Raw genomic sequence first — 11,912 nt, 5'->3', positions numbered from 1 at the left:
GTGTAACCTGTCTTTGTGTATAGTAATAGCGGTAGAAGTCTGGAATCGGGCAGCAAGGAGGGGCTTCTGAGTGAGATCTCTTGACTATCAAGCCAACAGAGGATTTTGTGGAAGAAAAAAAGAGATTTGTGGCTGCTCCCTCCCCACCTGTGAGTAACTTCAAAGGACAGATGTGTTTGTAGGAGATGTTGTGGCACTTTGCCATGCGATTTGTGACACACGTTCTTAACTTTCTCCCCACAAACTGTTGCAAATGGCTTTAGTGTTATATTTTCTGTAACATAATAAGCACATTATCATGAAAAAACGTTTTTAAATGTTTGTTTTTGTATTAATGATTTCATCCAGCCAAATCCACGGCCGGAGCAGGAAGCAGAAGTAGGAGAGTTCCCACAAGGTAGTGCCCCAGACCGACTAGAGATTGGGCCTGTCAAGATTTCCAAGGAACATTAAACACCAGGGTGATCAGTCCAAAGCATTTATTGGGAGAACTTAGAGTAGGCTAAAGCATCCTCGCAACAGGCAACAAGAATGTCATGCCTAGGTATATCCGCACTGAGGGGGTCAGGTTATGGAGTTTTATAGGAGAGTTTAAGGGATTTGGTTCAAGGCCAGAGCTAGATTCTTTCCATATTTTGAGCAACAACTTAAACACCTTTATGTTCAAGGCTCCAGCTTGGGTTCAAGCATGCTGGGTAAACATGCAGCTGGCTGGGTCACAGCACAGTCAAAGCACTTTGTTTTTCAGTCAGAACAAGAGAAAAAGCAGGGGAAATGCGGGGTAGGAGGCCCTAGAGACACCATGCAAGGTTTGTGTGCCACATTTTGGTAGATGCTTCCTTTAAGGGAAGAACAAAGCCTTTTGAGTCAAACACTTTTGTATATGTAAATTTTTAAAGAAAACATCAGATTACAACTAAAATCATCATATACACCATCAGTTCGTGTACATTTAACACTTTCAAAAGCTTTACTTTGAGAAAAGTGCAAGGGCTTTGAGCTTAGAAATTGAAATCCCCCCAAATCTGCTTCTTACTGGAGTCAGTCATCAATTTCATGAAAATTCTGCCTTATCTTGTGAGGATCTAAAGAGGTCATACATGTACACAACCTAGCACAAAGAAGTAATTCATAGATAGTACACATCCAGTAAATAGGAATTTTATAATAATTCCTCTTATTTTAAAAATAAATGGAGCCATTGTCATAATTATACACAGATCTAGGGTCAGTCAGCCCATTCTCAGCCACACAGCACAGATCAAAATCTAGGGAAATTAATAACCAGTGACGTTTAACTTTCTGTGCACAGAGAGTTAATATCAGCAGAGAAACAGGAACAGATAGCTTTCAAATTGAAGAGGCATCTTCAGAGAACGCGACCCTCACAAAGTTTGAGGGGATAGGTACCTGGAGCTGCCCGTTTGGTCACTGCTGTTTAAGTAGGGTCCAAATCTGAGAGAAGCATTCTAGAAAAGCTCATTATGGGAAAGCCTAGCCCTGCATTACTCACAGCCTTGAGGAGACTTGAGTTCCAGTGAATGGAAAAAGAGGTTTTACATACCAACCCGTTTTATGAAGCTAGAGGAACCTTGATAACAACGTCCAACAAATGAGCATATGAAATAAAAGTACAGGTAATGTCACTCATGAGGATATACATAAAAATCCTTAAATAAATTATTAGGACATAGATTACCCATGACCAAATTGTTGGTTTAAATGTACAAAATTTCCAGGCACCGTGACTCATTCCTGTAATCCCAGCACTTTGGGAGGCTGAGGCTAGTGGATGGCTTGAGATTAGGAGTATAAAACCAGCCTGGGCAACATGAAAAAATACCATCTCTAAAACAGAAAAATTAGCTTGGCATGGTGGCATGTACCTATAGTCCTAGCTACTGAGGAGGGTGAGGTGGGAGGATCGCCTGAGCCCAGGAGGTTGAGGTTGCAGTAAGCTGTGATCACACTACTGCAGTCAGCATGGGTGACAGAGTGAGACCTGTCTCAATTGTTAAAATTTAAAAAGTACAGATTTATCAACGTAATTGACTACATAAACAGATTACTGGGGGAAAAAACCCTGTGGTAATCACAATAGATGATTTCAGTTTTCAACATACAGAATCAAACATGAAGCAAAATGTTTTTCATGCAACATGACAAAAGTAAACATGAAGCAGAGTGCCCGCTCACTTTCTTAGTAGCAAAGAAATCTCAATTCACATGTTTTAAGATGACTCAGGTCAGTGTTTGATGAAATTCAACATATATTCAAAATGAACACTCTCAACAAACTAAAACAGAATGGCTTGACTTACTCTGAAAAAGTCCATCTACAAAAAAAGTACACTAAATATTGTCGTGAAATGTTGAAATTTTTCCATTTCTCATCAGGAATAACACAAAAATTTCCACTATCACAATTGTATCCGGTAGATCTGCTCAATGCCATAAAATCAGAAAAGGAAATAAAAGGGTTTAAAATGGCAAAAACAGGACCAGCACGGTGGCCCATGCCTGTAATCCCAACACTTTGAAAGGCCAAGGAGAGTGGATTACTTGCGCTCAGGAGTTCAAAAAAAGCCTAGGACACAGGCCAAAATCCCACCTCTACGAAAAATACAAAAGAAAAAACAAACAAAAAAGGCAGAAACAAAATTGTTCTTATTCAAAAATGATATGATTCTGTAGGTTGAAAACTGAAAAAACCTAGAAGTAAACTTTTAAAATTCATAAGCATATTTAACAAGGTTGCTGGATAGAAAATCAATACATGAGAATTATGCCTCTACACACAGCTCAAGGAGATAGAATACAAAATTGCAAAGAATGAAACATTTCACAGCATCAAATAGCTAGAAATAAAATTGACAAAAGATTCACAAGACTTCTTTGCAGAAGGCTGTAAAGCTTTATTGGGAGAACTTCAATGAAGAATTTTCCAACATAGGAGCAGCCTGCAACATTTCAGCATGTCTTCTTTTAACACTGTGATTGCCCTTCACCTGAAACAAAACAAAACAGTTGGGAACATTACAGAGCAACAGATTATTATTATTATTATTATTATTATTATTATTATTATTATTTTAGATGGAGTCTCACTCTGTTGCCCAGGCTGGAGTACAGTGGAGCAATCTGGTTCACTGCAACGTCCGCCTTCTGGGTTCAAGCGATTCTCCTACCTCAGACTCCTGAGTAGCTGGGACCACAGGCGCGTGCCACCACAAGGGCTAATTTTTTGTATGTTTAGTAGACACGGGGTTTCACCGTGTTAGCCACGATGGTATACAATTCCTGACCTCATGATCCACCCGCCTTGGCCTCCAAAGTGCTGGGATTACAGGCGTGAGCCACAGCGCCCGGCTGAGCAACAGATTATTTAGATGGCCCTAAAGGCATACAAAGCACACTACAGTTTGGGTTTTATTAAATGGACTAAAAACAGAACGCTAAGGTGATCCTCTGTCGTATATCCAATTGAATCTCGGAATACACTTTGAGAGTAGCCCTCCAGAATTTAAAGGTAATTTCTTCCCTAAACATCAAGTGCTTCCTTTCAAGTCACAAGCAATTACAATTAACAGTCAGCAATTTGGAAAACACATGTGTGAAATATACTTCAGTTGATTACTCAGGAAGGACTAGAGTCATGGTCTTTCAACTTTAAATCTTATCAATTCATGTCTCTAAAGCTGAAATTTACATGTAACATTTGATATGATTAGAGATGATTATATCATATGTGTGTCTACAGTCTTATTAGAAATAGTGGCTCATCAAGACTGACAGTGGGGCAGGGAGCATGCATAGCACAGGCATCTTACTCACACCCATGCTGAGCATCACTGACTTACATGCCACAGATGATAGGAACTAAACGGTCTCTTGCCATTTGATATTTCAGTCACTCAAGGTTTCCGTGGGGAAAGATTTAAGAAGCAATTGTTCATTAAAAGCCAGAGAATCCCAGTCTGGGCAACATAGTGAGACCTCATCTCTACAAAAATGAAAAAAAAAATTTTACTCAGGTACGTTGGCTTGTGCATGTAGTTCCAGCCACTCAGGAGGCTGAGGTGGGAGGACTGCTTTAGCCTGGGAGCCAGAGGTTGCAGTGAGCTGAAAGTACACCACTGCACTCCACCCTGGGTGACAGACTGAGACTCCGTCGCAAACAAACAAACAAACCAAGAAGAGGGAGAATTCACAATTTCACAAGATCTTACACTACGTATTCAGCTCTCCACACGGAAAAACTAGGATGAAGCAGAGTGCCCCCTCACTTTCTTACTAACAATGAAATCTCAATTCAGAGATTTTCAGATGACTCGGGCCAGGGTTTCATGATTTGTGATTAACAAACCATGCGAAGCAGATGATCTCTGTGTCCCACGCATTCTATGCAACAGGATCAGAGTATGAAAGAACCGGAATGGAAAATGGTTTTAAAATCTCTGACTTAAACTCACTATTTTCATAACAACCAAAGATAGGTTTAGAAGTGAAAGGACTCACTCAGAATCTCACCAAGGCTGTAAGAGCTGATATTAGAACCCGCATGAGTGCTTCAGCATTTTTCACACCAAGTGATGGGTGTTACAAATGTGTTATGTATTGATTAAAAGCAGACCTTTGCAAAAGCATTTGAAAATTATGAGCTACTGGTTTGAGGATTTATACTCAAAACTTTTAATTCAACATACCTTTGACTCAGCTTGTTTCCCTATCTGAAAGTCTATCACTCGGGTGCTGGGGCCTGAACTACATTTCAAATAACCTTTATATAAGAACTCTTTACTAAAGAGGCAGTATTGTTAACTCTCTCTTACTAAAAATATAATGCTGGGTCTGGCACAGTGGCTCTCGCCTGTAATCCCGGCAATTTCAATGGTCGAGGCAGGTGGATCACCTGAGGTCAGGAGTTCGGGAACAACCTGTGCAACATAACGAAACCCTGTCTCTACTAAAAATACAACAATTAGCTGGGCACGGCGGAGCACGCCTGTAACCCCGGCTCCGCCAGAGGCTCAGGCAGGAGAATCACTTGAACCCTGGAGACAGAATTTCCAGTGAGCCGAGATGGCACCACTGCACTCCAGCCTGGTCTTCAGAGCGAGACTCCGTCTCAAAAACATAGTAAGACTTACAATATGATACTGTGGAAACAGACACCCTACAATGTGCATGCCTAATGGATTGCCTACCTTCTTCAGGCGTTTTCACCTCCTCTGGATTTGGCGGGTCCATCTCCTGCCCATCAGGACCATCTTCACACTCACACCCAGTCTGTGGGTGACCCTGTTCCTGGCTATCAGCTTCAGGCTTCGGCCCTTAAAAATAAAAAATACGTATCAATTTAAGCAGTAAAACATAAAATATGAATAAGAAAATGATATTCATGCTCTCGGTATTATTATATAAAAGCTTTAGCTAACGTAATAATAAATGTGTTGATAAGAATCCCAGGAACATTATTTCAGGAGTCCGTTAGCAGAAAACAGGAAAACAAGGTGTTCCAAATATTACCCTCTTCCTTTCCGAAGACTGCCCTCAGACAACTTTGCTGCCTCCTTTGCACTTCTCTCTTATTCTACTTCTGATTGTCCTTCTCGTATTAAATGACTCAAGGCTCAAATCCCGTCTCTCACAGCACTTACACTCCTAGCGCTTAGACTCTTACATGGCATGAGTAGCCACCAATAAACGCTGAGTGAGAAAACTCTTTTAAAAATACATGAAAAAGCCCAAACTGCAGAATATTCTGCAAACCAACTGGTCTATCCTCTCCAAAAATGTCCGTATCGTGAATGACAAGAAAAATTAAGGAAACATTACAGGTTAAAGGAAACTAAAAACACCTGAAAAGCACATGCAAGGTGTGATTCTGAACTGGACTCTGGATCAGAAAAAGAAATCCTATCAATAAAATTATCTGGGCCGGGCGTGGGGTCTCACGCCTGCAATCCAAACATTTTGGGATGCCAAGGTGGGCAGAGCAGGTGAGGCCAGAAGTTCAAGACCGCAGTGGCCGGCGCCTGTAGTCCCAGCTACACGGGAGGCTGAGGCATGAGAATCCCTAGAACCTGGGAGGTGTGGGTTGCAGTGAGCCGAGATCGCACTACTGCACTCCCACCTGGCCCACAGAGAGAGACTCCGTCTCAACAAAGAAAAAAAAAAGGAAAAAAGAAATTTTCTGGGGAACTGGCAAAATTTGAGTATGCACTCTGTATTAAATGACTCCATTTTCTCATTGTTAAATTTCCTGATTTTGATCTTTGTGCAGTGATGATCCAAGAAATGACTTTCTCTTTGTTCTGACGATAAACACACCCTCAAGTACATAGGGTAAAGGACCATAATACCTGAAACTTTATCGAAACAATTCAGCATTAATAACAGTAAACATATATCCGTATGTGTGTGTGTGTGTGTGTGTGAGTGTGTGGGCAGCACGGTAAGAGACGGAGGGAAGAGATGTGAAACCTATGAAGCGAAAGCTACTAACAATTGGTGAATCCAGATGAACAGTATATGAGTTCATTGTACTATTCTTGCAAATTTTCTATGAATGCTATGACTTGAAGATACATACAGGAAAAATTTAAAAGAATATATGATAACTGCACTGAACTTTAGGAAGAAAGGAATTTCCAATTGTGGTACAAAATACAGATATCCTAAAATTTACCATCTTAACTATTTTTAAGTGGTACAGTTCACTAAGGAGTTACGTTTGCAACATTACCAGCCACTAGGCACAAAAACTTTGCATCTGTGTTTTCCTATACCATGAAAACTTTATTTATTTAATGAATTTATTTATGTATTTATTTATCCATTTATTTATTTATTAGCGATGAGGTCTCACTGTGTTTCCCAGGCTGGGCTTGAACTCCAGGACTCAAGCAATCCTCTCACCTCGGCCTCCCAAGTAGCTGGGACTATGAGTGCATGGCATTCAGCCCAGCTTTAGACCTTTCTCCTAAATGACAATCTAAGGATAAACCACAGGACATGTATAATGCTTATATTCAGCCCTAGAGTACCAACAGCAGTGTGCGTCAGCTGAGAAATCTGAAGTCTACCACGTGGGTAGGATTTCAGTTACAATTACAATGTCAGTTTCTGAAGGATTGATTAGCTGGATGGATTTGAGGACTATGGAAAATCTTACAGTCACGACACCCATTACCTATTGGGGTAAAGAGAAACTTCACTTTGTTCAAATAAAGTTATATTTAGGTCCGAAGGTCCTAAAGGTAATATTCCATAAATGAACCCCGTGAAGAACAAAGCACCAAATATAACATTGTTTGTGAATCACAGAAAATATACTGTCCCCCGCACTGAGAATAAGGGAGTGGGCGGACAGCAATTAATGGGCATTGTTGTCAGTCAGATTCTAGGAACTTTTAACAGTGCATCCCTGGAATAATCCATGACCTCCGTTACATAAATGCTTCCTTTCAAAACATTTTATCTCGGAGAAATTATTTCCATCTCACGTTAATCTCAGGATAATTCCGTTTTTGCTTTTCTAACCATAAAAGGATTTAATCACCTCCTAAAGGCCGCTGAGAAAAATCACTAAACCAGCTACCTGTATGGCAGTATCCTCATTTATCCAGCTTTTATCAAACGTACCATATAAAAATATCAATCAAAGGAAACGGGGGCCAACATTCAGCGACTCGGTTTTTGGAGCTGCTCCTGCTCCTCTGAACTGGGTCTATTCTTGGGTCAGTACTAAGCTACCTTACAGTAAAGCCTTTTGAGTTTTAAGCATTTTCAGCAAAATCACTTCCTTCTTTACAGCAACATACATGATAGGAAGACACAAACCTTGGAACACAGTACAAATGTTGTATTCACCAGTCAAGGGTTCTTGGATAACACACAATCCTGGCACCTCCATTCTCTCATTCATAAAGTCGAGATCTTTTACCATAGTGAGGGATTTGCCTAAGCTAAGCTGCGAACTACATAGCCTCCTCGCTTTTCCAGTCAATTTCAGGCATTCTTTCCATTGTTTTCTTTCCTCCTCTTCCTCCTATGTGACAATGCCTAACACACACACACACACGTGCACACACACACACACGAACACACACACACGCACACACCAGCAGACGTTCTTCTTCCCTTTCCCTCACCTTGACCTGCAGATGCTCCCTCATCCTCTCCCTCCTGAGCAGCTGCAGGATCCTGACGTTGAGTTGCTGGTTCCCCTTCTTCAGGTGTTGCTGGTTCCACTTCATCACTGAACTGCTCGGGCTGGGGAATACGTGTGGGTGTGCAAATAAAAAATAAGTTTCGTTATTGATACAAAATTTTACATATATACACAGAATACATAGCTATTTCTGGTCCTAACTAAGCCTAAAGACATTTCTCCAACTCTATGCTCTATGCCCAATAAGGTTACTCCACCCACAGGGAGGTTACTGTGAGAAAAGTGACGCACGAGGACTTTGGGGGCTATTATACTCTGTGTTGGAATACATGTGTACAATCTGTCATTAACAAACAAAGCCGGAGAAAGAAGTCATGGGCAAAAGCTGAAGAACACGAGAGGAAAAAAAAAATCCTCCAGAATCAATGTTTCCTTCATGAGATGCCATCCTCATTTTTTATGAGCAGGAAAGACCTTTATCAGCATTTCCACACTAATGCAACGACGCTATCACAAAAATTAATTTCTACTAATAGAAAACATCGAATTAACGTTTAAGCACTCACCCGCATAGGCCCAATCATTTCAGGAGGCTGTACATAGCGCCTTGGTCTAGGCCAATAATAGGTCGATCTTCCTCGCCAACTCATATTTCACACTGAAAACAGACAACCGTGATTGGGAACGTGCGCTCCAGAGGGCTGCTATATTCGATCACTTCCATGGATAAATGTTAACTTGCCGTTTTACTTTTGAAAATACTCTCAAAATAAGTCCCAGAGTTAAGCATACGTGTGTACGCTGTCTGAGTGCCTACAAAGCCACTTCTGCTGGCCAGGCTGGCAGAGCAATCATCTTAAGGCGTGTGGCAAAAGGCAGAGGACATTTTTTTCTAAATTTCTTTTGGACACGCGGTCTCGCTGTGTTGCTCAGGCTGGAGTGCAGCGGCGTGATCACAGCTCACTGCAGCCTCGACCTCCCGCTCAAGGGATCCTCCCACCTCAGTGTCCCCAGTAACTGGGAATACGTAGGCGAGCGCCACTGCGCCCCGCAGACAGAGGTCATTTCTGATGAGGTTTAGTTTCACAAGTGCACTCCCCACGAAAACCCTAGTGAATCACAATTCTCGTGATTGCTGCTTTGGGCACACTCCCACTTCCTAGAGCCATTCACCCCCCCTCACAACAAGTTTGGTTGGACCGCACTGCCTCGCCCACTCCTTCCCACTGTTTTCGGACCTTCCATGGCGGAGGTGAGACCTTGCAGTGCTTCTCACTCGGGCGCTCCGCACTCCACACCGCTGAGGGGGCGCTCGCCAGGCCGCAGCCTTCCCAGGTGCCAGGCCCCTTCTTCACCGCCCGCCTCGCCCCCGCCGGGGGCCCCATTCAGGGAATCTGCCCTGTGTCGTCGGGGATCCCGGCACCTCGGGACTTCCATCCCCCCAACAGCACTCACCCCGTCTTCACCTGAGCCCCTGACCGCCTCCCCTCCACGGCCCACCTTCCTCCCCGTCCAGGCCCCTTCACGACCACGAAGCCGCCGGTGGCCTCGCAGCCTGTGAAGGGAAGGAGGACGACCTCGTGGCCCTTCTCCCTCGGAGGCCACAGACCAGGAAGCGGGACCCGCCTGACCCACCCGAGGCCCTCTCCACCCTCACTCACACTTCAGCCCCCGGGATGACTGGCCTGCACACCTACCAGATGAATCTCAGTAGAGGAAAAAGAGTCCGGACGGCAGGAACCACACAGCACTGCCTCACAGCTCCCTGGCGTTCTTCACGTGGGCGAAGGGGCCGGGCAGAAGACGCCCAGTGAACATGCGCACTGAGGCGGGAGCCCAGGGAGCATGCGCGGCTGTGGGCTGGGGAGGGCTGCCGTTCCCAGCGCCACGCCCCAAACCCTCCATGCCCATCCTCATTGAGGATAAGGGAATCCCACCTCCCTCTGCTGTTTCCTATGCCTCTGGGACTCAAGTAGTGCTCCCCTCAAAACTCACCCCATCTTCAACTGAACCCCACCCCCAACCCAGGGCCCTCTCTTGCCCCGGACCCACCATGGGGACAAGGACCACTGTGACTGGCTGGGAAGACAGGTAAACCACCTGCGAAAACAGAAATAGCAACCTATCCCAAAAGGAAATTGTTCAATGTGAACAAGTCAGAGAAAGAGACTGAAAGAAAAATGAATAGAATCGCTAGGACCCGTAAGAAAATGCTAAAACGATATCTATCATTTGTAGCATCAGAATCGCAGAGGGTGAAGTGACAGTATTAGGGAAACAGGACAGCCAGAGTGACACCACGTGAAAATATACTCCGTCTTGAAAGCAGCAAGATACATAGTCCTACCAGTCACAACCCATGGTCCTAAGATGTTTGGAGTTGAGAAAACAGATGAAAGGTACCTCCAAGGACATGCTCCCACAGCAGCGGAAAGTGCACGGTTCCCAACACCCATTAACAATATATGCTTTCAACAGAATTATGCTTTCATGGACTTACACACTGGTAAGTCAAGGACAGTTTTCTTTAAATCAATAGAATGATAAAAGTCATCATGCTCTTAGCCCACCCGCACAAAGGCACAGATTAACTTTAGTCTTTATATAGATAAGACCCCTATATAAGAAAAACCAGACCAGGCCAAGGCTCACGCCTGTAATCCTAGTATTTTGGGAGGCTGAGCTGGCCAGATCACCTGAGCTCAGGACTTCGAGACCAGCCTAAGCAACATCAGAAAATCTCATCACTACAAAAAACAAACAAAAAACCATCGAAAAATTAGCTGGGCATGGTGGCATGTACCTATACTCACAGCTCCTCAGGAGGCTGAGGTGGGAGGCGCGCTTGAGCCCAGGAGGTCAAGGCTGCAGCGAGCTCTGATAACACCACCGCACTCCAGCCTCGGTGACAGAGTGAGACGCTGTCTCAAGTTTTAATAATCGAACCTAAAAACGTACAAATTTATCAATCGAATTCACTATATTAACACATGAATGGGAAAAAACGCTGTGGTAATCGAAATAGATGCACTGTTTGATGAAAATCAACATATATTCAAATGAATACTCTCAGCAAATTTGGAACAGAATGCAATGACTCACTCTGATAAAGTCCGTCTACAAAAAAAGGAGAGTGAATAGGATGGTGAAATGTTGAAATTTTTCGGTTTCTCATCAGGGATAAGACAAGGATGTCCACTGTCACCATTGTAACGGGTGGGTCTGCGCAATGCCATAAAATCAGAAAAGGAAATAAAACTCTTTACAATGGCAACGACGGGCCCGCCACGGTGGCCCACGCCAGTAATCCCAGCACTGTGGGAGGTGAGGTGGGTGCATCACTTGCACTCAAAAGTTCAACAACAGCCCGGGAAACATGGCAAAACCCCGTCTCTACAAAAAAATACAAAAGGGAAAAGAAAAAAATATGGCGGAAACAAAACTGCTCTTATTCCAGGATGATATGTTTCTGTATATTGAAGACTGAAAACGACCTAGAAGTAAACTTTAGAATTCACAAGCATATTTCACAAGGCCGCTGGATAGAAAACCAATATGTAAGAATTATGTCTCCACCGGGCGCGGAGGCTCATGCCTGTAATCCCAGCACTTTGGGAGGCCAAGGCAGGTGAATCACGAGGTCAGGAGTTCAAGAGCACCCCGGCCAAGATGGCGAAAGCCCATCTCTAGTAAAAACACAAAACTTAGCCAGGCGTGCTGGTGGGTGCCTATAATC

At 43.5% G+C, this 11,912-nt stretch overlaps 1 protein-coding gene across 3 annotated transcripts; it reads right to left on the bottom strand.

Moving 5' to 3' along the window:
• Positions 1-462: 462 nt before the first annotated feature.
• GAGE1 (G antigen 1) lies at positions 463-9,988 on the bottom strand. 3 transcript variants are annotated; one of them, NR_102272.2, is made up of 6 exons: positions 9,874-9,988; positions 8,743-8,834; positions 8,157-8,277; positions 5,208-5,333; positions 3,861-4,003; positions 463-3,008 (listed from the first exon to the last, which is right to left on the bottom strand). NR_102272.2 is itself a non-coding variant. In NM_001040663.4 (5 exons), the coding sequence occupies exons 2-5, from the start codon at positions 8,824-8,826 to the stop codon at positions 2,986-2,988; spliced, it is 354 nt and encodes a 117-aa protein (NP_001035753.1). In that variant the 5' UTR covers positions 8,827-8,834; positions 9,874-9,981; the 3' UTR covers positions 463-2,985. The 3 variants fall into 3 exon arrangements, 2 of the variants coding, with proteins under 2 accessions (NP_001035753.1, XP_011542198.1); NM_001040663.4 differs by lacking the exon at positions 3,861-4,003 and having other exon boundaries at positions 9,874-9,981; XM_011543896.3 differs by lacking the exons at positions 463-3,008; positions 3,861-4,003 and adding an exon at positions 4,897-4,937.
• Between the last annotated feature and the right edge of the window lie 1,924 nt (positions 9,989-11,912).

Source organism: Homo sapiens, chromosome X (assembly GCF_000001405.40).
Source record: "Homo sapiens chromosome X, GRCh38.p14 Primary Assembly".
In the NCBI taxonomy this organism is placed as follows: domain Eukaryota; kingdom Metazoa; phylum Chordata; class Mammalia; order Primates; family Hominidae; genus Homo; species Homo sapiens.
The sequence above is the reverse complement of the archived record's forward strand: the minus strand, read 5'-3'. Positions and strand labels throughout refer to the sequence as shown.